At 52.8% G+C, this 23,197-nt stretch overlaps 1 protein-coding gene and 1 long non-coding RNA gene across 3 annotated transcripts, besides 2 other annotated features; one reads left to right on the top strand and one right to left on the bottom strand.

Annotated features, from left to right (window-relative positions):
* Window positions 1-136: 136 nt before the first annotated feature.
* On the top strand, window positions 137-23,197 carry NUCB1 (nucleobindin 1). Of its 2 annotated transcripts, none has more exons than XM_017026845.2 (13): window positions 137-483; window positions 611-756; window positions 4,172-4,279; window positions 5,578-5,710; window positions 10,974-11,077; window positions 12,836-13,021; window positions 13,299-13,389; window positions 18,551-18,609; window positions 18,855-18,947; window positions 19,019-19,111; window positions 20,979-21,149; window positions 21,652-21,757; window positions 22,143-23,197. In XM_017026845.2, exons 2-13 carry the CDS (start codon window positions 622-624, stop codon window positions 22,247-22,249), a joined length of 1,386 nt encoding a protein of 461 aa, XP_016882334.1. In that variant the 5' UTR covers window positions 137-483; window positions 611-621; the 3' UTR covers window positions 22,250-23,197. The 2 variants fall into 2 exon arrangements, with proteins under 2 accessions (XP_016882334.1, NP_006175.2); NM_006184.6 differs by having other exon boundaries at window positions 137-197.
* On the bottom strand, window positions 10,755-18,716 carry NUCB1-AS1 (NUCB1 antisense RNA 1). Its single transcript, NR_046633.1, has 2 exons — window positions 18,529-18,716; window positions 10,755-10,999 (listed from the first exon to the last, which is right to left on the bottom strand). It is a non-coding gene; the product is annotated as an NUCB1 antisense RNA 1 (long non-coding RNA).
* Window positions 18,915-19,414: an enhancer, noted in NCBI's record as "H3K4me1 hESC enhancer chr19:49422347-49422846 (GRCh37/hg19 assembly coordinates)". NCBI's record gives its function as "activates a minimal SCP1, AML or CMV promoter by ChIP-STARR-seq in naive H9 embryonic stem cells {active_cell/tissue: H9 hESC(naive)}" and the evidence as "EXISTENCE:reporter gene assay evidence [ECO:0000049][PMID:30033119]".
* Window positions 22,561-23,060: an enhancer, noted in NCBI's record as "H3K4me1 hESC enhancer chr19:49425993-49426492 (GRCh37/hg19 assembly coordinates)". NCBI's record gives its function as "activates a minimal SCP1, AML or CMV promoter by ChIP-STARR-seq in primed H9 embryonic stem cells {active_cell/tissue: H9 hESC(primed)}" and the evidence as "EXISTENCE:reporter gene assay evidence [ECO:0000049][PMID:30033119]".

Below are 23,197 nucleotides of genomic sequence, written 5' to 3' on the forward strand. Positions count from 1 at the left end.
CACGAAAATGCGAGCGGCTTCGGCAAGGGGCGGGGCCGCTGGACGTGGATGAAAGCTACAGAGCCAGCGTGGACCAATCAGACCTCTTTGGGGCGGGGCCTCTGTGGATAAGTGGGCGTGGTCTAGGGGGGAAGTCACCAAGAACGCACCGGAGGTCCTTGCCCGCCCTGGAAAACGCCCTCTGCGGTGAAGGAGAGGTGAGAGGCCAGGGTTCCCATACTCTTGGGTCCTAGGGAGGATGGGGGCCAGAGGGCTGGAAAACTGGGTCCCGGAGGAGGATGCACTGGGTGCCAGTACTTTAGGTCCTGGGAAAAGAGGAGGCTGGGACCCTGGACTCTTGGGTCTGGGGGAGGAGGCGGCCGAGATCCCGGATTCCTGAGTGTGAGAGAGGAGCGTGTTGGGAGCCAGGACCCCTGGGTCTGAGGGCCCAGACTCCTGTGTCGGAGGAAGGGAAGGCCGGAGGCCTGGAATCCTGGGGCCTGGGTAACAAAATGCTTGTGTCTTGATTCTTGGAAGTGGGGGCGGCGCTGGGGGCCCGAACTCCTGGTTCCAGGGGAGGAAGAGGCTTGGGACAGACATTATGCATTATCCAGCCCTCCATCCCCCACAGACCACACTGCCATGCCTCCCTCTGGGCCCCGAGGAACCCTCCTTCTGTTGCCGCTGCTGCTGCTGCTCCTGCTTCGCGCCGTGCTGGCTGTCCCCCTGGAGCGAGGGGCGCCCAACAAGGAGGAGACCCCTGCGACTGAGAGTCCCGTGAGTGGCCCTGCCCTGCTATCCAGCCAGGTGTTTGCAGTGGTACTACAGCTCCTGCAGACCCCGGTGCCCGTAGGGCGGATGCTCCAGTGACTTCCTGGCCCTACAGTTGTAGCTTGTTTTTTGCCCACCATTCCTCCCAGCAGCAGGGGTTTGACTTGGTGAAAAACTGGAGGTCCCTGACTCTGAGGTGTGGAAAATCTGCATCACGCCCCAACTAAACGTCTGTTTTTTTAAGATTCTCTCCACCCAAGAAGGAATTTGAAAACAAACAAACAAAACTACATTTCCCAGTAGCACCATGTTGCTAGTTCCCAGTAGCAGTTGATGTTGGCTAGCTGGGGTATTCTGACTTCATGGTGCTCTTGGGAGTTGTAGTTTAAATTACAGAAGGGCGGGTGAACTGCTTGTTTATTAATTCCTACATGTGTTTATCAAACCCAATAAAAGCTTTGGTCTTAAGGGATTTGGAACTTTGGAGATCCTGAAGGTCAGTGAGTGTCTTGTGGTCCGAATCTTCCTATAGCTCCCCATAAGGATAGGCTGGTCAGGCCAGGCGCAGTGGCTCATGCCTGTAATCCTAGCACTTTGGGAGGCCGAGACAGGCGGATCACTTGAGGTCAGGAGTTCAAGACCAGCCTGGCCAACATGGCAAAACCCCATCTCTACCAAAAATGCAGAAATTAGCTGGGCGTGGTGGCTCACGCCTATAATCCCAGCTACTCTGGGAGGCTGAGGCACGAATTCTCGTGCTGGAACCAAGAGAGGTGGAGGTTGCAGTGAGCCAAGGTCACGCCATTGCACTCCAGCCTGGGCAACAGAGCTGAGACTCTGTTTTCTGAGACTGTCTCAAAAAACAAAGAATGGGCTAGTCATTACCCCCTGGAACGGATCATTGCATGTTCCTGGTCCCCACGCTGCAAGTTAGGCCTCTATTCTGTGAAATCCTTGCAGACCCAGGAAGGCTTTGTTGAGTCCCATTTCTTTTCTTCCATTCCACATGTTTCCTGAGCACCTTCTATGAGCCGGGCATAGTGTTGCCTATGTGTTGCATAGTTGTTAGGGCCCAGCCATGTGCATGCCCCATGCCCATGGACTATCCCTGCTCACTGGGAGATGGAAGACAAAGGGCAGGGCTCTATGAGAGTGAACACCAGGGGTGACAGTCAGGGAGGAAGGGAGGCGTGAGTTGAGTTCTTTCTTTCTTTCTCGCTCTGTCACCAGGCTGGAGTGCAGTGGTGCAATCTTGGCTCACTGCAACCTCTGCCTCCCAGGTTCAGGTGATTCTCCTGCCTCAGCCTCCCGAGTAGCTGGGACTACAGGCGCACACCACCACGCCCATCTAATTTTTGTATTTTTAGTAGAGACGGAGTTTCACCATGTTGGCCAGGATGGTCTCGATCTCTTGACCTCTTGATCTGCCTGCCTCGGCCTCCCAAAGTGGTGGGATTACAGGCATGAGCCACCTCATTTTTTCTTTTCCTTTTTCTTTTTTTTTTTTTTTTTTATTTTTGCTGTGTCACCCAAGCTGGAGTGCAGTGGTGCAATCACTGCAATCTCCATCTCCCAGACTCAAGCGATCCTCCTGCCTCAGCCTCTGGAGTAGCTGGGACTGCAGGCATGTGCCACCATGCCTAGCTAATTTTTTTTGTATTTTTGATAGAGACAGGGTGTCATTATACTGCCCAGGCTAGTCTCGAACTCCTGAGTTCAAGTGATTTGCCCGCCTCGGCCTCCCAAAGTGCTGGGATAATAGGTGTGAGCCACTGAGTTCTGAACTGGAGAGATATGTTAAGTCAAGAGCAAGGAAGAGAGGAAGTGAGGGGAAGAGCATTCCAGGCAGAGGGAACAGCATGAGCAAAGGCCACTTGGTAGGAGAAAGCAGAGCAAGTTGAGGACGTCAAGGAGGCTGCTGTGGCTGGAGCAGGGAGAGTGAGAGGGAGGGGAGAGGGGGATTATGTGGATCATGTGGGATCTTGTGAGACTAGGTAAAGAGGTAAAGAATGTATATATATATATATATGTTTAATAGACAGGGTCTTGTGCTGGTGCCCAGGCTGAAGCGCAGTGGCAGGATCATACCTCACTGCAGCCTTGAACTCCTGGGCTCAAGTGATCCTCCTACCTCAGCCTCCCAAAGCACTGGGATTACAGGCATGAGCTACCATGCCTGGCCTTCTCTCTTTTGTAATTTTATTTATTTATTTTTTCCAACTTATCTTATTTGCTTTTCACCACAACTCTGGGAGGCAGAGGATATATTGCCTATTTTATAAATAGTAAGAGCATAGAAGGCCCAGGGAGAGTAAAGTCCCACCCAGCTACGCATGACGGGGGTGGGACTAGGAGGCCTGGGACTTTTGTCTGTGTTGTTCACAGTGCCTGGCATATGATAGGGGCCTGGTGAATGTTTGTTGAATGAATGAATGCATGCATGGGCGGGTGGGTAGATGGATGGGCAGTTGGATGGATGGGCGGGTGGATGGATGGGTGGGTGGATGAGTGGATGGATGGATGGATGGGTGGTTGGATGGATGGGCGGGTGGATGGATGGGCGGGTGGATGGATGGGTGGGTGGATGAGTGGATGGATGGATGGGTGGGTGGATGGATCGATGGGTGGGTGGATGGATGGATGAGTGGATGGATGGGCGGGTGGATGGATGGGTGGGTGGATGAGTGGATGGATGGATGGACGGGTGGTTGGATGGATGGGCGGGTGGATGGATGGGTGGGTGGATGAGTGGATGGATGGATGGGTGGGTGGATGGATGGATGGGTGGGTGGATGGATGGATGAGTGGATGGATGGGCGGGTGGATGGATGGGTGGGTGGATGAGTGGATGGATGGATGGATAGATGGATGGATGGATGGATAGGTGGGTGGATGGATGGGCAGGTGGATGAGTGGATGGATGGATGGATGAGTGGATGGATGGATGGATGGATGGATGGGTGGGTGGATGGATGGATGGGTGGATGGATGGATGGATGGGTGGGTGGGTGGATGGATGGATGAGTGGATGGATGGGTGGATGGATGGATGGATGATGGGTGGATAGATGGGTGGGTAGGATGTATGTATGGATGGGTGGGTGGGATGTATGGATGGATGGGTGGGTGGATGCATGGATGAATGGGTGGATGCATGGATGGATGGATGGTTGGATGGATGGATAAAAGTATGATTCACAGCTTCCCAACAAGTCATGTCCACTCTGAGCACCCACTCTGGGCAGTATTGGGCTGGGTGTTCACTGATGTGATTTTCATTTCATCTTTGCTGCATATGTGGGAAAAGGTAAAAACTGAGTCCCTTGTCAGCTGCCCCAGGGAGCAGGCCATAGCAGTAACAGGAGTGAGGGTGGGGATGGGGATGGGAGCAGGGGCTGCTATGTCTGTCCTTGTTGCCTCAGGACACAGGCCTGTACTACCACCGGTACCTCCAGGAGGTCATCGATGTACTGGAGACGGATGGGCATTTCCGAGAGAAGCTGCAGGCTGCCAATGCGGAGGACATCAAGGTGCGGCTGGGGGAGTGGGGGCTGTGGGAGGGGTACGTGCTGGGAGGGCAGAGTTCAGGGGAGGACTGGTTTCTTTTTTTTTTTTTTTGAGACGGAGTCTTGCTCTGTCACCCAGGCTGGAGTGCGATGGTGCGATCTCAGCTCACTGCACCTCCACCCCGCAGGTTCAAGCAGTTCTCCTGCCTCAACCTCCCAAGTAGCTGGGATTACAGGCGTACACCACCATGCCTGACTAATTTTTGTATTTTTAGTAGAGACGGGGTTTCACCATGTTGGCCAGGCTGGTCTCGAACTCCTGACCTCGTGATCCTCCCATCTCGGCTTCCCAAAGTGTTGGGATTACAGGCATGAGCCACCATGCCTGACCATACTGGTTTCTTCAAAGGGGCCACATGGCTCCAGCTGTGCCTGTATTTGAAAATCACCAAAGTAAGACTCAGGGAGAAGTTGCTTCTTGGGGTCACAAGCTGGGAAGAGCTTTGGGGAACACAGAATACGTGTTTAGTGCAGAGTCCCGTGGGCAGGCTTTCAGTCGCAGCTCCGCCGCTTACCAGCTATGGGGCCTCCCCTCACCGTGCCTCAGTTTCCCCACCTGTAAAATGGGAGACATCATAGAACCTGCTGCACAGTTCGGATTTGGATTTTCCAAGGGAAGGATTTTGGGGTTTGGATTTTCCAAAGGAAGATGTGTAAAGGGTTTGGAAGAGCATGGTGACACTCCTTAGCAAGTGTTGTGGGAGGGCTGCGTCAACAGAATGCTCCTATGGTGCCTTCTACAGAGGAAGAATTCAAAATAAGGGAGGTGCTGGTGTCCCTTACATCACCATGAACTCCCATATCAGGCCTCTAGGAGCACCATCATTGTCCCCATTTCACTGAGTAGGACACTGAACCCTCGTATCAGGATCTGTCCTTCTCATGGACCTGGGTCTCACCACCATGCACGGCTAATTTTGTATTGTTTCTAGAGACAGGGACTTGCCATGTTGCCCAGGCTGATCTTGAGATCCTCCCACCTCAGCCTCCCAAAGTGCTGGGATTACAGGCGTGACCCACCGCACCTGGCCCCTAAACATGTGGCTTGATGAATGACAGGAGATGGGGCAGCACAGGTGGGCAGGGCCTTGAATGCCAGGCTGACGGGCTGGGAGCTGTCCTTCCTGGAGACTCTGAGGAGCTGGGGGACTATAAGCAGGGAAGGGGCAGTATAAGACTGGGGCATGAGAAAGCTTATAAGAAGCTTCCAGAGAAGACAGAGAGCAGGCCCCCAGGCTGACCAGGGTCTCCTCTCCTGTCAGAGCGGGAAGCTGAGCCGAGAGCTGGACTTTGTCAGCCACCACGTCCGCACCAAGCTGGATGAGCTCAAGCGACAGGAGGTGTCACGGCTGCGGATGCTGCTCAAGGCCAAGATGGACGCCGAGCAGGATCCCAGTGAGCAGGGGCAGGGCGGGAGGGACAGGCAGGGAGGGGTGGGGAAGGGTGGCCTCACTCCCGGCCTCCAGGTGGTTGTGTGCTAGGCAGGTGAGGCCTCCCTCCCCGCTGCGAAATGTGCTGAAATGTGCGTGGGAGATTGCCCCAGTGTTCCTCCCAGCATGATTTAATATTAACATTACAATGTTGTTTGTTTATATTCTGTTTCCATTTGTTGTTTTTAAAAATCTTTATCATGGGCTGGGCACAGTGGCCCACGGCTGTAATCCCAGTACTTTGGGAGGCTGAGGCAAGCAGGTCACCTGAGGTCGGGAATTGGAGACTATCTGGCCAACATGGTGAAACCCCATATCTGCTAAAAATACTAAATTAGCCGGGCATGGTGGTGCACGCCTGTAATCCTAGCTGCTCAGGAGGCTAAGGCAGGAGAATTGGTTGAACCCGGGAGGCGGAGGTTGTAGTGAGCCGAGATCGCACCATTGCACTCCAGCCTGGACAACAGAGTGAAACTCTGACTCAAAAAAAAAAAAAAAAAATTGTCATTTAAAATTCTGGTAGAGGCCGGGTGCAGTGGCTCACGCCTGCAATTCCAACACTTTTTGAGGCAGGAGAATCACTCGAGCCCAGAAGTTCAAAACCAGCCTGGGCAACATAGCAAGACCCCTGTCTCTATAAAAAATATTAAAAAATAAGCTGGGCATGGTAATGCATGCCTGTGGTCCCACCTCCTTAGGAAGCTGAGGTGGGAGGATCGTTGAGCCTGGGATGTCAAGGCTATAGTGAGCCATGACTGCGCCACTGTACTCCAGCCTGGGCGACAGAACAAGATCCCATCTCAAAAAAAAAAAGTTGAAAGAACTTCAAACTTTTAGAAAAGTTGTAAGAGTAGTACAGAAAACTCCCAAACACCCCTGACCTGGCTTCTCTAGTTAACATTTGCTCCATTTGCTTTGTCACTCACGTTTGGGACTTCACCACAGTCACCATCTCATCACCCTTACACATTTCAGTGTGATACTCTTGCATAAGTACAGCGATAAAATCGGGAGATTTATCAGGTCACACTGTTTTTCCTTGCTCAGCTAATATCTTTCTTTTTTTTTTTTTGAGACAGAGTCTCGCTCTGTCACCCAGGCTGGAGTGCAGTGGTGCAATCTCGGCTCACTGCAAGCTCCGCCTCCTGGATTCACGCCATTCTTGTGCCTCAGCCTCCCAAGTAGCTGGGACTACAGGCGCCCGCCACCATGCCCAGCTAATTTTTTGTATTTTTAGTAGAGACGGAATTTCACTGTATTAGCCAGGATGGTCTTGATCTCTAACCTCGTGATCCGCCCACCTCGGCCTCCCAAAGTGCTGGGATTACAGGTGTGAGCCACCGCGCCTGGCCTTTTTTTTTTTTTTTTTTGGTGAGACAGAATCTTGCTCTGTCTCCCAGGCTGCACTACAGTGGCGCGATCTCGGCTCACTGCAACCTCCGCCTCCTGGGTTCAAGCAATTCTCCTGCCTCAGCCTCCCAAGTAGCTGGGATTACAGGTGTGTGCCACCACACCTGGCTAATTTTGTATTTTTAGTAGATACTTGATTTTGCCATGTTGGCCAGGCTGGTCTTGAACTCCTGACTTCAAGTGATCCTCCTGTCTCGGCCTTCCAAAGTGCTGGGATTACAGGCCTGAGCCACCAGCCTTGGCCCCCATCTTAAGGTCTTTAATGTAATCCCATCCGCCAGGACCCCTTAGCCCGGAAAGGTCACGCATTCACAGGTTCCGGGGATCAGGATGTGGATATCTTTTAGGGCACCAGTATCCAGCTGCCACAACACCCAGGCTCTTCCCGTCCCTCCTCTGCCCAGAGCCTGCCCCCGGCACCCCAGTGCCCTCAGGCCCGCATTCATGTTCCTCTTGTCTGCTCGGAGCCTGGGTGGACCTTGGCCACACCCGCCCAACCCTGCCCTTCCCGTATGCACCCTGACCTTCTTGCGTCAGCATTTTTAGAAATTGCTGGCGTGCAGCCTTGGGACCTTTGTCCGTTCGCCCCGCTCTCCCGTGACATTCTTTCTCAGGGCTCTTTGCCTGGTCCATGGACCTTCCATCTCCCCTGGAATGTCACCTCCTCAGGGTGTCACCGCCCCGGCTGTCCTGTGTGAAGGAGCCTCTGTGTTATTTGTGTCCTTGGTATTCCTTTGTTCATCCCTTGGTCGCCTGTTCTCTGTCTCTCTAGACTGGGTGCTCCAAGAGGCAGAACTCTTTTGGTTGTTGTTGTTTTTGAGACAGAGTCTCACTCTGTCGCCCAGGCTGGAGTGCAGTGGCGCGATCTCGGCTCACTGCAACCTCTGCCTCCCAGGTTCAAGCGATTCTCCTGCCTCAGCCTCCTGAGTATCTGGGATTACAGGTGCCCGCCACCATACCTGGCTAATTTTGTATCTTTAGTAGAGACAGGGTTTCACCATGTTGGCCAGGCTGGTCTCAAACTCCTGACCTCAGGTGATCCACCCGCCTCAGCCTCCCAAATTGCTGAGATTACAGGCATGAGCCACCCCGCCTGGCCTCCAAGAGTCAGAATTCTGTCATCATTTGATTCCTGCTGTGTCCATAGCGGCCGGCGCTGGGTCAGCCTGGAATAGCGGCTCAACACACGTCCCTGGCACAAATAATGAATTTGAGATTCAGTTTGTACCTGTGTCCTGCACACCTGTCACTCCTCTGGGCTCAGCCAGGGCCGGAGCTGCCTCCACTGCAGCCTAGGTCTCCCAAATTCTAGCTGCCCGTGTGTGTGTGTGTGTGTGTGTGTGTGTGTGTGTGTGTGTGTGTGTGTGTCTTTCTGCCCACTTGACCAAGGGGTGTGTGTGTGTGTGTGTGTGTGTGTGTGTGTGTGTGTGTGTCTTTCTCCCCACCTAACCAAGGGCCACTGGAGGCCAGGGCCAGGCTGATTCATTTTGGGTCCAGCATTGCACAGCGCAGGCCTGGGCCCCTAGAAGCCTCGGGAGACATGCGTGCGGTAAGTGTGTGTTGGCAGCGTGTGCGCTGTCCTTTCCTGCCTGGAAACCCTACCCCTTCCTGACTACTTGGAAACTCCCATATGAGGGAGGCTGCACTTGTTTGCTGAGGCCGCTGTAACCAAGTACCACTGACCAGGTGCTTCAGCAACAGAACTTGACTGTCTCATGGCCTGCAGTCAGAGTCCAAAGTGAAAGTATTGGCAGGGTTGGTTCCTTCTGGGGCTATGAGGGAGGATCTGTACCAGGCCCCTCTCCTTGGCTTGCAGATGGCCGTCTTCTCACTGCATTTTCACACCATCTTTCCTCTCTGTGTGCCTGGCCCAAATTTCTCCTTCCATTATTATTTTTTATTAATTATTATTATTATTATTTTTTTTTTTTTCCAAGACAGAGTTTTGCTCTCGTTGCCCAGGCTGGAGTGCGGTGGCGCGATCTCAGCTCACTGCAACCTCTGCCTCCCAGGTTCAAGCGATTCTCCTGCCTCAGACTCCTAAGTAGCTGGGATTACAAGCACGCGCCACCACGCCTGGATAATTTTGTATTTTTAGTACAGATGGAGTTTTGCCATGTTGGGCAGGCTGGTTTCGAATTCCTGACCTCAGGTGATCCACCCGCCTTGGCCTCCCAAAGTGCTAGGATTACAGGTGTGAGCCACCGCGCCCGGCCTATTATTATTTTGAGACAGGGTTTCACTTCTATCCTCCAGGCTAGAGTGCAGTGGTGCGATCTCGGCTCACTGCATCCTCCCCCTCCCACGCTCAAGTGATTCTCCTGCCTTAGCCTCCTGAGCAGCTGGGACTACAGGCACACACCACTGCACACAGCTAATTTTTATATTTTTTGTAGAGATGGGGTTTCACCATGTTGCCCACGCTGGTCTCGAATGCCTGAGCCCAAGTGATCCTCCCACCTCAGTCTCCCAAAGTGCTGGGATTACAGGCATGAGCCACTGTGCCCAGTCATAAATTTCTGCCTTTTATAAGGTCACCAATCATGTTGGATTAGGGCCCACAGTAATGACCTCATCTTAACCTGATTCCCTCTGTAAAGACCTAGTCTCCAAATCAGGTCACATTCTGAGGTACTGGGGCTTAGGACTTCAACATAGAAACTTAGGAGCGTGCAATTTAACCCCTAAGATTGGTTGATGCTTTATCAAAAATTTTGATGTTTTTCTTTTGTTTGTATGTATGTATTTATTTTATTTATTTATTTTTCAGACGGAGTCTCACTCTGTCACCAGGCTGGTGCAGTGGCGTGATCTCGGCTCACTGCAACCTCCGCCTCCCAGGTTCCAGTGATTCCCCTGCCTCAGCCTCCCAAGTAGCTGGGGCTACAGGTGCGCACCACCATGCCCAGCTAATTTTTTATGTTTTTATTAGAGATGGGGTTTCACCATGTTGGCCAGGATGGTCTCAATCTCTTGATCTTGTGATCCGCCCCCCTTGGCCTCCCAAAGTGCTGGGATTACAGGCGTGAGCCACCGCACCCAGCCTTGTTTGTTTTTTTTAAAGAGTGGTTGAGGCTGGGCGTGGTGGCTCACACCTGTAATCACAACACTTTGGGAGGCCGAGGTGGGTGGATCACCTGAGGTCAGGAGTTCAAGACCAGCCTGGCCAACATGGTGAAACCCTGTTTCTGTTTCTACTAAAAATACAAAAATTAGCCGAGTGTGGTGGCATGCACCTGTAGTCCCAGTTACTCGGGGCTGAGGCAGGAGGATTGCTTGAGCCTGGGAGGCGGAGGTTGCAGCGAGCCGAGATCCTGCCACTGCAGAGTGAAACCCTGTCTCAAAAAAAAAAAAAAAGAAGGAAAAGAAAAAAAGAAATGGTTGAGTGTCATGGTTTTTGGATGTCCAATGGCTGGTTCCCATCCTTGCTCTGCCACTTGCTAGCTGGTACCCTAGACCAGTCACAACCCCTCAAGGGGTCTCAGTTTTCACATTCATAAAATGGGGATAATCATAAAACCCTTGTTGTCAGGATTTTGTGGAAAGTGAATGAATTAATACAGTTAAAGTGCTTAGGGCATGGCCTGGCATCTAGTAAGTAGGCACTACATGTTAGTTTTTATTATGGTTATTATTGTAAGCATCAGACTCAGTCGTGGGATCACCTCCTCCAGGAAGCCTTCCCTGATTGCCCCAGGTTCAAGCTGTCTTCTGGGCTTCCCTAGTGCTGTCCGTGACTTCTTTGGATCATGTCTGGCCCAAGATGGGGGTTCTGAAAGAACATGCCCTCAGGTGTTGGACTCTTCCCTCTCTTCCAGATGTACAGGTGGATCATCTGAATCTCCTGAAACAGTTTGAACACCTGGACCCTCAGAACCAGCATACATTCGAGGCCCGCGACCTGGAGCTGCTGATCCAGACGGTAATGGGAGTGGGTCCGGAGGCAGAGGATTGAGGGTAGCTTTGCGGAAGGGGAGAAGGGGACAGAGTCCCAGACGTGAGCCAGCTCACCATTCCTGCTGGTGTTCTCTGAGGTTGGAGGCTGGTAGAGGGCTGAGTCGTTTCTTTTCTTTTCTTTTTTTTTTTTTTTTTGAGACGAAATCTCGCTGTTTTCCCCCAGGCTGGAGTGCAATGGCACAATCTCGGCTCACTGCAACCTCCGCCTCCCGGGTTCAAGCGATTCTCCTGCCTCAGCCTCCCGAGTAGCTAGGATTACAGGTGCCTGCCGTCACGCCCAGAAAATTTTTGTATTTTTAGTAGAGACAGGGTTTCACCATGTTGGCCAGGCTGGTCTCGAACTCCTGACCTCAGGTGATCCACCCGCCTCAGCCTCCCAAAGTGCTGGGATTACAAGTGTCAGCCACCGCACCCAGCTCTTCTTATAGTGATACCCACCGTAATCTAGCAGGCCATCATCTTAACTAATTACATCTGCAAACACTCTATTTCCAAATAAGATCACATTCTGAGATTCCAGGTGGACATGAATTTGGGAGTGTGGGGGGAGTATACTGTTCAACCTGGTATTGTTAACTCCATTTTACAGAGGTGGAAACTGAGGCACAAAGAGGCTGAGTAACTTGCCCAGTGTCACAGAGCTTATGAGATTTGGTCACAAAGCAAAGCCTAGATTTGAACGCTGGGCAAAATAGTTAGAAACCTCTTGTTCTTTTTTTGGTTTATTTTTACTTTTTTTTTTTTTTTTTTTACCTGAGACAGCGTCTTGCTCTGATGCCCAGGCTGGAGTGCAGTGGCATGATCACAGCTCACTGCAGCCTCAACCTCCTGGGCTCAAGCAATCCTCCCACCTGACCCTCCTGAGTAGCTGGGACCAGAGGTGCAAGCCACCGCACCAGGCTAATTTTAAAAATTTTTAGTAGACACAAGGTCTCGCTGTGTTATGTGAGTTAGTCTTGAACTCCCGGGCTCGAGTGATCCTCCCACCCTAGCCTCCCAAAGTGCTAGGATTCCAGGCGTGACCCACCTCTCCTAGTCTGACCTTATGTTCTTGGCCACCTAGCTGTACCTGAAATACATAAATACTAAGTTCACCACATATGTTGTTCCTATTTACTTATTCCTCCAAGATCTGGAGATTGTGGAGGACTTGAAAGAGGTGGGTTGAAGTTGCTATTGTATAACCGTCCCAATCTGTTTTGAATAAAGAGAAGAAAGTGTGTTATGGGGCAGGAGCAGTCATGGAAACCAAAAAGGGCGACATCAGGCTGTGCGCGATGGCTCACGCCTATAATCCCAGCACTTTGGGAGGCTGACGTGGGCGGATCACCTGAGGTCAGGAGTTTGAGACCAGCCTGGCCAACATGGTGAAACCTCGTTTCTACTAAAAATACAAAAATCAGCTGGGCCTGGTGACACATGCCTATAATCCCAGCTACTCGAAAGGCCGAGGCAGGAGAATCACTTGAACCCGGAAGACAGAGGTTGAAGTGAGGCAGTGAGCAGAGATTGTGCCACCGCACTCCAGCCTGGGCAACAGAGCAAGACTCCCTCTCAAAAAAAAAAAAAAAAAAAGGGACATTAGGACACGAGACGTAAGAAAGACAGGTAGAGGCTGGGGCTGCCCTCAGCCAGGTTCAGGGCCAAGGGCCTGCCATTTACAGGCTGGAATTGGGGGCTGGGCAGAGGGGGCAGAGGGGAATGACCCTGTGCCTTTCCCCAGGCCACCCGGGACCTTGCCCAGTACGACGCAGCCCATCATGAAGAGTTCAAGCGCTACGAGATGCTTAAGGAACACGAGAGACGGCGTTATCTGGAGTCACTGGGAGAGGAGCAGAGAAAGGAGGCGGAGAGGAAGCTGGAAGAGCAACAGCGCCGGCACCGCGAGCACCCTAAAGTCAACGTGCCTGTGAGGACCCCATTTGTGCCCATCCACTCCCTACCACATCCAGTTCAAACGCAAGACAAGAAAGCAGTTAAAGAACTACAATTCCCAGGGGCCCTTGAGGCAAAAAAACTCCCTGTTACTGTACCTGGCTGCCCCAGGGTCTGCTGGGAGTTGTAGTTTTCTTAGTTTTCTTGCTTGAGGGAGATGATGTTTGTTGGATGAGGGTAAAGGGATATTTGGTTTTATCCCATGGCATCCAGACTTCTTGCTCATGAGCTCCTGGCTCTCCCCTCCACAGGGCAGCCAAGCCCAGTTGAAGGAGGTGTGGGAGGAGCTGGATGGACTGGACCCCAACAGGTTTAACCCCAAGACCTTCTTCATACTGCATGGTAAGGTGGGGAGGGAGTTCCAGAGCCAGGATGAACCCTAGATTCTGACCCTTCTAGGACCTGAATGCTAAGAGGGGTGTGTCTGTCCCAGGAGGGCTTAGTCAGGCCCAAGAGCCAAGCCTATGTCCCCTGGTTGACCAGACAGCCCTGCCTCTCCCGACTACAAGGCTAGGATCTGCATGGAAGGGTTGGGCCTCTTTTCTAGCAAACACCAGACCTCGGGGTTCTAAGGACAGCTGGTGTCCTCTGTAAGCAAACCAGGCTTGGCTAGGCCTGGGCCCTCTGCCCACAGCAGCCCAGGAGAAGCCCTGGTCCACTCTGGGAACCCTGTCGCTAGGAGTGGGTTGTTCCCTAAGAACCAGGCCTCCAGAAGCCTGGAAAACCCTTTCTCTTTTTCTTTTTCCTTTTTTTTTTTTTTTTTGAGATGGAGTCTTGCTCTGTTGCCCAGGCTGGAGTGCAGTGGCATGACCTCGGCTCACTGCAACCCCCTGCCCTCCGCCTCCCGGGTTCAAGTGATTCTCCTGCCTCAGCCTCCCGAGTAGCTGGGATTACAGGCATGCACCACCATGCCCGGCTAACTTTTGTATTTTTAGTAGAGATGGGGTTTCACCATGTTGGCCAGGCTGGTCTCGAACTCCCAACCTCGTGTGATCTGCCCCCTCAGCATCCCAAAGTGCTAGGATTACAGGCGTGAGTCACTGCGCCCGGCCTCGAAAGCCCTTTCTCTATGGTGGATCAAAGGCACACTCCCCTCAGTCTGTCTCTTCCTGTCTGGAAATGTGGCCTGGGGTTGCCAAGCCCCCTCAGGTATGCCAAGCACCCTGTCCCAGAATCTGTAGCCGGTCAGATAAGCTTAGCAAGGCCTGACTCATTCATTCAGCAAACCTTTCCTAAGTTCCCTCTAAGGACCAAGCTTTGTCAAGACCCCGTGGATACAACTGTAAACAAAACAAAGTACCTCCCCCTCAGAGCCAGTGATCAGGCACACAGATCATACCATACTTTAGTAACTCCACGAGACTGTACAGTATGAGAGGTGCTAGCATTTTACGTAAGCTGCCAATTAAATTAACGTACCATTGAAAACAAGATGCGTCCTGGGCTGGGTGTAGTGGCTCATGTCTGTAATCCCAGCACTTTGGTAGGCCAAGGTGGAAGATGGCTTGAGCCCAGGAATTTAAGACCAGCCTGGACAACAAAGTGAGACCCTGTCTCTATTTAAAAAAAAAAAATAGACCAGGCGTGGTGGCTCACGCCTATAATCCCAGCATTTTGGGAGGTTGAGGTGGGAGGATCACCTGAGGTCAGGAGTTCAAGACCAGCCTGGCCAACATGGTGAAACCCCATCTCCACAAAAATACCAAAATTAGCTGGGCATGATCGTGAGTGCCTGTAATCCCAGCTACTCAGGAGGCTGAGGTGGGAGAATCACTTGAACCCGGGAGGCAGAGTTTGCAGTGAGCCAAGATCGTGCCATTGCACTGCAGCCTGGGTGACAGAGCAACACTCCATCTCAAAAAAACAAAGAAAAAAATAAAAATTAAAAGTTAAATAAATAAAGATACATCCCTATTTCAGGGGTGATAAAATAGAAGAACACAAAAGTGCATCTCAGAATCAACGAAGGTTCTAGGCCGGGTGTGGTGGCTCACGCCTGTAATCCCAACACTTTGGGAGGCCTAGGCGGGTGGGTCCCTTGAGGCCAGGAGTTGGAGACCAGCCTGGCCAACATGGCAAAACCCAGTCTCTACTAAAAATACAAAAATTAAAAAACAAAACAAAAATTAGCCAGGCATGGTAGTGCTCACCTATAGTCCCAGCTACTCAGGAGGCTGAGGTAGGAGAATCGCTTGAACCCGGGAGGCGGAAGGCGGGGGTTGCAATGAGCTGAGATCACACCACTGCACTCCAGCCTGGGCAACAGAGTGAGACTCTGTCTCAAAAAGCAATAGAAAGTAAAAAAGAATTAGAAGATTCTGTAATGGGGTCTCAGGTAGTGACGTGTACTACCTCGCAGCCTTGACCACCCAGGTTCAAGTGATCCTCCCCCTCAGCCTCCCAAGTATCTGGGACCACAGGCACGTACCACTATGCCTGGCTAATTTTTTTAATTTTTAGTAAAGGCAAGGTTTTACCATGTTGCCCAGGCTGGTCTCAAACTCCTTTGCTCAAGCGATCCACCTATCTTGGCCTCCCGAAGTGCTGGGGTTACAAGCATGAGCCATCCCACCGGGCACCACCCCCCGTGTTTTGTTTTGTTTTTTTTTTGAGACAGGATCTTGCTATGTTGCCCAGGCTGGAGTCAAACTCCAGGCCTCAAACAATCCTCCTGCCTCAGTCACCTGAGTAGCTGAGACTGCAGGTGTGTGCCACTGCGCCCAGCTTTAAAGATGTTTAATTGTACAGTTCAATAGTATTAAGTATATTTACACTGTCATGCAACCAATTCTGAGAGCTCTTCATCTCGCACAACCGAAACCGTATCCATTAAACCACTCGCCCTCCCCTTCTTTCCCCTGCTCTCTAGCAACCACCATTCTATTTTCTGTCTCTATGATTTTGACTATTTTAGGTACTTCATGCAAGTAGAATCTTTTGGTATTTGTCGTGTGTGTGTGTGTGTGTGTGTGTGTGTTTGGCTTATTTCACTTAGCATAATGGTGAGGAACTGAAGTTTTCATTCTACTGGATATTAATTTCTATTTCAATTGCCCCATGTGGCTAGTGGCTGCTGTACTGGAGTCCCAGCACAGCTCTAGAGAGGACATTTGGGCTGGATGCGGTGGCTCACGCCTGTAATCCCAGCACTTTGGGAGGCCGAGGTGGGTGGATCCCTTGAGTCCAGGAGTTCAAGGCCAGCCTGGGCAACATGGCACAAACCCATCTCTACAAATAAAATACAAAAATTAGCTGGGTGTGGTGGCGTGCATCTGTAGTCCCAGCTCCTTGGGAGGCAGAGGTGGGAGGATCACTTGAGTCCAGGAATTCAAGGCTGCAGTGAGCTATGATCATACCAGTGCCCTCCAGCCTGGGCAACAGAGTGAAACCCTGTCTCTAAAAAATAGAAAATAGGCTGGGCTCAGTGGCTCACGCCTGTAGTCCCAGCACTTTCGGAGGCCAAGGCAGGCAGATCAGGAGCTCAAGAGATCGAGACCATCCTGGCCAACATAGTGAAACCCCGTCTCTACTAAAAATACAAAAATTATCTGGGCATGGTGGCACGCACCTGCAGTCCCAGCTACTCAGGAGGCTGAGGCAGGAGAATCACTTAAACCCTGGAGGTGGAGGTTGCAGTGAGCTGAGATCATGCCACTGCACTCCAGCCTGGCAACAGAGCGAGACTCTGTCTCAAAAATAAATAAACAAATAAATAGGCCCGGCGCAGTGGCTTACCCCTATAATCCCAGCACTTTGCGAAGCCAAGGCGGCTGGATCCCTTGAGACCAGGAGTTCAAGACCAGCCTGGGCAACATGGCAAAACCCCATCTCTATGAAAACAAATACAAAAATTAGCTGGGTGTGGTGGCGTGCATCTGTAGTCCCAGCTACTTGGGAGGCTGAGGTGGGAGGATCACTTGAGCCGAGGAGTTCAAGGCTTCAGTGAGCTACGATCACACCATTGCACTCCAGCCTGGGTGACAGAGTGAGACCCTGTCTCTAAAAAATAAAAAAATAAAAACCTTATTTAATCTTTTTAATCAGGCAGTCCCTACAGACCAGAATAGGTTCAGAGCAACTCCCTATACCTTTTTTTATTTTTCATTTTTTTTATTTTTAGAGATGGGGCTTCCCTTTGTCACCCAGGCTGGAGTGCAGTGGCGTGATCATGGCTCACTGCAACCCAGACCTCCTGGGCTCAAGTGATTCTTCCACCTCAACCCTTAGAGTAGCTGGGATCATAGGTGCACACCACCATGCCCAGCCAATTTTTAAATTTTTTTTTTCTTTTTGAGGCAGAGTCTTGCTCTGTTGCCCAGGCTGGAGTGCAATGGCATGATCTTGGCACACTGCAACCCCCGCCTCCCAGGTTCAAGCTATTCTCCTGCCTCAGCCTCCTGAGTAGCTGGGGTTACAGGCACTTGGCATTATGCCTGGCTAATTTTTGTATTTTTGTAGAGACGGGGTTTTACTATGCTGGCCAGGCTGGTCTTGAACTCCTGACTTCAGGTGATCCTCCTGCCTCGGCCTCCCAAAGTGCTGGGATTACAGGCGTGAGCCACCGCACCCGGCCCAATTTTTTACTTTTTTTTTTTTTTTTGTAGAGACGGGGTCTAGCCATCTTTTCTAAGCTGGTCTCGAACTTAATGTGCTCAAATGATCTTGCCTTAGCCTTCCAAAGTACTGGGATTACAGGCATGAGCCCCTAAATTTGGCCCCTACATTTTCTTTAATCTTAATCAATTTACATTTAAACAGCCCATGTGGCTAGCGGCTACTGTACTGGACAGCGCAGATCCAGAGTTTAGGCAGAGAAGAGACCCCCAGGCCTGAGCCCTGGGCCACACTAGCATGTGGAGGTCAGGAAGAGGATGGAGCCGTCAAAGGAGGTGGAGGGGCAGCCAGAGAGGACAGAATCATGTTCTGGAAGCCAAGGGCAGAAAGTCAAGTCAGATGCAGGTGGAAATTAACCACTGGATTTGCAAGATGAGGGTTCCTGGCCTCCTCCTCAGGAGGAAGGTTGTGCTTGTCTGAGGGAGCCGAGGAAGGAGGGCCGGTGGTGAGGACAGGAAGTGTGGCTGACCGAGCCTGAAGCCCTGCAGCTGTGGGGTCTACGTTGGTAGGAGAGGCTCCCCTCACAACTGGAGTCGGCACTGGCCTGGTTGTCTGGGAGGCAGAGGTCCCTGATAACCCTGGAGCTGACTCTGTGTCCAGAGCACTGAATGCCAGGGCCAGAGAATCCTGCATGACAGTGACCCAAGCATGTTTCCTCGAACCCTCCCTTTGATCTATTCCATTCTCAACCCCCTGGTCGCTAGGCAGTGGCCCTAGCAACGGGTCTAGTGGGGTACTAAAGCCTGGGGGCCACCGTTCCACCGCGGGAGACCCGTAGTTACCTGTCCTCTGATAACAGACCCCACATCAGCCCAAAATTTCTTCACCAGGGACCTTACACATCCCGTCCTCGGTCCCCTGAGATACCTTGCTATCCTCTTCCCTTCAGATATCAACAGTGATGGTGTCCTGGATGAGCAGGAGCTGGAGGCACTCTTCACCAAGGAGGTGAGCATCTTGGAAGCCTCGGGCACCTGGAGGGACGCCCAAATCAGCCACTTGTTTCCTCCTGCAGTCCCCTTAAATCCCCCTGGATGGGAGCTCAGTGAAAACTACAACTCCCATCAGCCCCTGGGGCAAAAACGGCTCCCAGGAGTGGTAGCGTGCCCAAAGGACTGCTGGGAGTTGAAGTTGTCGGGAATGAGCTCGCTGGGGACCTCTCAATGCTGTCTGCCTCTCGCTTGCTCCTGCAGCTGGAGAAAGTGTACGACCCAAAGAATGAGGAGGACGACATGCGGGAGATGGAGGAGGAGCGACTGCGCATGCGGGAGCATGTGATGAAGAATGTGAGGTGGGGGCCAGGCGGGGGAGAGGACGGGCCCCCAGCTCTGTCACTCACCCTTATCTGGCTCCCCAGGTGGACACCAACCAGGACCGCCTCGTGACCCTGGAGGAGTTCCTCGCATCCACTCAGAGGAAGGAGTTTGGGGACACCGGGGAGGGCTGGGAGGTGAGAACATGGGGGATACTCGGGGTCCTGAACCTCTCTCTCTTCTAGCCATGACCTTTCTTTCAGAATCTTAGGCCCCTTCTCTTTCTCTCTGGGTCCCCGTCCATTCTCCTGGGTCACTGCATCTCTATCTCTGGGTCTCTGTTTTCCCCTGTCTCTAGGACTCTTATTTATTTATTTATTTATTTATTTATTTATTTATTTATTCTGAGACGGAGTCTCACTCCATCGCCCAGGCTGCAGTGCAGTGGCACGATCTCGGCTCACTGCAGCCTCCACCTCCCAGGTTCAAGCAATTCTCCTGGCTCATCCTCTTGAGTAGCTGGGATTATAGGTGCGTGCCACCACACCCAGCTGATTTTTGTATTTTTAGTAGAGGCAGGATTTCACCATGTTGGCCAGGCTGGTCTCAAACTCCTGACCTCAGGTTATCCACCCACCTTGGCCTCCCAAAGTGCTGGGATTAGAGGTGTGATTTTTTTTTTTTTTTTTTTTTTTCTGAAACAGGGTCTTGCTCTGTCGCGTAGGCTGGAGCCCAGTGGTGGGATCTCGGCTCACTGCAACCTCCGCCTCTTGGATTCAAGCGATCCTCCCATCTCAGCCTCATGAGTAGCTGGGATTACAGGCGTGAGCCACCATGCCTGGCTAATTTTTGTATTTTTTGTAGAGATGGGGTTTTGCCATATCGGCCAGGCTGCTCTAGAACTGCTGGACTCAAGCGATCCACCTGACCTGGCCTCCCTAAGTGGTGGGATTACAGGCATGCACCACCGCACCACACCTAGCTAATTTTTGTATTTTTTGGTAGAGACAGGGTTTTGCATGTTGGCCAGGCTGCTCTGAAACTCCTGGACTCAAGCTATCCACCCTTCTCAGCCTCCCAAAGTGCTGGGATTACCCAGGCTGGAGTGCAGGGGTGTTATCATGGCCCACTGCAGCCTCAAACTCCTGTCCTCAAGTGATCCTCCTGCCTGAGCCTCCCTATTAGCTGGGACTACAGGCACATGCCAGCATGCCTAGCTAATCTAGCTCATTCTTTTATTTATTTATTAATATTTTTTGAGACAGGGTCTCCTGTCACCCAGGCTGGAGTGCAGTGGTGTAATCATAGTTCACTGCAGCCTTGAATTCCTGGGCTCAGGTGATCCTCCTTCCTTAGCCTCCTGAGTAACTGGGACTACAGGCACATACCACCATGCCCAGCTAATCTAGGTCTCTGTTTTATTTATTTATTTATTTGTTTGTTTATTTTTCAATACAGAGTTTTGCTCTTGTTGCCCAGGCTGTAGTGCAATGGTGCATTCTCAGCTCATTGCAACCTCCACCTCCCAGGTTCAAGCAATTCTCCTGCCTCAGCCTCCTGAGTAGCTGGGATTATATGCATGTACCACCATGCCCTGCTCATTTTGTATTTTTAGTAGAGACGGGGTTTCTCCATGTTGGTCAGGCTCATCTCAAACTACTGACCTCAGGTGAGCCACCCACCTCGGCCTCCGAAAGTGCTGGGATTACAGGTGTGAGCCATGGTGCCTGGCCTATTTCTATATATTTTTCAAGATGCCCAGCCAATTTTCTGTAGAGACAGGGTCTCGCTCCGTTGCCCAGGCTGACCTTGAACTCCTGGCGTCAAGTGATCCTTCCCACTTTCGCCTCCCAAAGTCCTGGGATTACAGGTGGGAGCCATGGTGCCCGGCCTTGTCTCTCGGTCTTTATCCCACTCCCACCTCCCACTTGGGCTTCTTTGCCCACCCACATGGCCCTGGCCTCCCAGCCTCCTCTACACCTCCCCCATTGGCACAACCCTCTCCAACATGGGTGGGCCGAGGTTGGACCTGTGCCCCTGATGGCCCCTGTGCCTGCCCTGCAGACAGTGGAGATGCACCCTGCCTACACCGAGGAAGAGCTGAGGCGCTTTGAAGAGGAGCTGGCTGCCCGGGAGGCAGAGCTGAATGCCAAGGCCCAGCGCCTCAGCCAGGAGACAGAGGCTCTAGGGCGGTCCCAGGGCCGCCTGGAGGCCCAGAAGAGAGAGCTGCAGCAGGTGACAGCGGGGGAAGCTGCTTCCATCCACTGAATCTCTGGCTGCCCGTGTCCGTGTCCCCATGGGTGTCCAGAAGCTGGGAAGGCCTGTGGCCACCATGTTAATCACTGGGGGAGCCTCAAGTATTCACCGCCATCTTGAGTAAGGGCAGACGTTTTCCCGTCTCTGACGGCTCTGTGGCTGCCATGTGAGATAAGGGCATTAAGGCTGTAAGTGAGGAGGGAAAGGCCCAGGAGGGGGAGAAAGGCAGACTCAGCCAGGGATGGGTGAGGGTTTCCCTGTCCCAAAGCAAGACCCAAGCTGTGACTGGAGGGAGAACTGGATCCTTGACTATTATTAAGCCCGACTGTCAATGAAAGAGAGAAACTGAGGCCCACGGAGAAGGGGTTGGCCGTGACCACTTAGCAGGCTGCTGTGAAGTCTCCGTTTGGGGACTGAGGCCTGAGCACTTGCAATGCCAGCATCACACCCTCTTGTCTGTGTGACCCCCCACCTCCCACAGGCTGTGCTGCACATGGAGCAGCGGAAGCAGCAGCAGCAGCAGCAGCAAGGCCACAAGGCCCCGGCTGCCCACCCTGAGGGGCAGCTCAAGTTCCACCCAGACACAGGTGCTGGCCCTAGTCCAGGGAGGAGGGGCTGCAGGGCTGGACCCCTGGGTCTGAGGTTGGAGGGGCTGGGCCTGGACTCCCAGATCTGAGGGAAGAGGGACTGGGGGCCCAGACTCCCAGATCTGAGGGAAGAGGGACTGGGGGTCCGGACTCCTGGGTCTGAGGGAGGAGGGGCTGGGGGCTGGGACCCCTGGGTGTGAGGGAGGAGGGGCTGGGACCCCTGGGTGTGAGTGAGGAGGGGCTGGGGGCTGGACCCCTGGGTGTGAGGGAGGAGGGGCTGGGGGCTGGACCCCTGGGTGTGAGGGAGGAGGGGCTGGGCCTCTGGGGTCCTGGGGGAGGAGGGGTTCGGATGTCCTGTGCCACCATTCCCTCCCTCCATTTCCAGACGATGTACCTGTCCCAGCTCCAGCCGGTGACCAGAAGGAGGTGGACACTTCAGAAAAGAAACTTCTCGAGCGGCTCCCTGAGGTTGAGGTGCCCCAGCATCTGTGATCCTCCGGGACCCCAGCCCTCAGGATTCCTGATGCTCCAAGGCGACTGATGGGCGCTGGATGAAGTGGCACAGTCAGCTTCCCTGGGGGCTGGTGTCATGTTGGGCTCCTGGGGCGGGGGCACGGCCTGGCATTTCACGCATTGCTGCCACCCCAGGTCCACCTGTCTCCACTTTCACAGCCTCCAAGTCTGTGGCTCTTCCCTTCTGTCCTCCGAGGGGCTTGCCTTCTCTCGTGTCCAGTGAGGTGCTCAGTGATCGGCTTAACTTAGAGAAGCCCGCCCCCTCCCCTTCTCCGTCTGTCCCAAGAGGGTCTGCTCTGAGCCTGCGTTCCTAGGTGGCTCGGCCTCAGCTGCCTGGGTTGTGGCCGCCCTAGCATCCTGTATGCCCACAGCTACTGGAATCCCCGCTGCTGCTCCGGGCCAAGCTTCTGGTTGATTAATGAGGGCATGGGGTGGTCCCTCAAGACCTTCCCCTACCTTTTGTGGAACCAGTGATGCCTCAAAGACAGTGTCCCCTCCACAGCTGGGTGCCAGGGGCAGGGGATCCTCAGTATAGCCGGTGAACCCTGATACCAGGAGCCTGGGCCTCCCTGAACCCCTGGCTTCCAGCCATCTCATCGCCAGCCTCCTCCTGGACCTCTTGGCCCCCAGCCCCTTCCCCACACAGCCCCAGAAGGGTCCCAGAGCTGACCCCACTCCAGGACCTAGGCCCAGCCCCTCAGCCTCATCTGGAGCCCCTGAAGACCAGTCCCACCCACCTTTCTGGCCTCATCTGACACTGCTCCGCATCCTGCTGTGTGTCCTGTTCCATGTTCCGGTTCCATCCAAATACACTTTCTGGAACAAATGCATGGCTCCATGCCTGTGTATCTGGACTGGTCCCTCCAAAACGCTATTGCCACGTCACCTGCCGGAGTCCTCATCTTTGAAGACTGGATTCAAGCATCA

Source organism: Homo sapiens, chromosome 19 (assembly GCF_000001405.40).
Source record: "Homo sapiens chromosome 19, GRCh38.p14 Primary Assembly".
NCBI classification, from domain to species: Eukaryota; Metazoa; Chordata; class Mammalia; order Primates; family Hominidae; genus Homo; species Homo sapiens.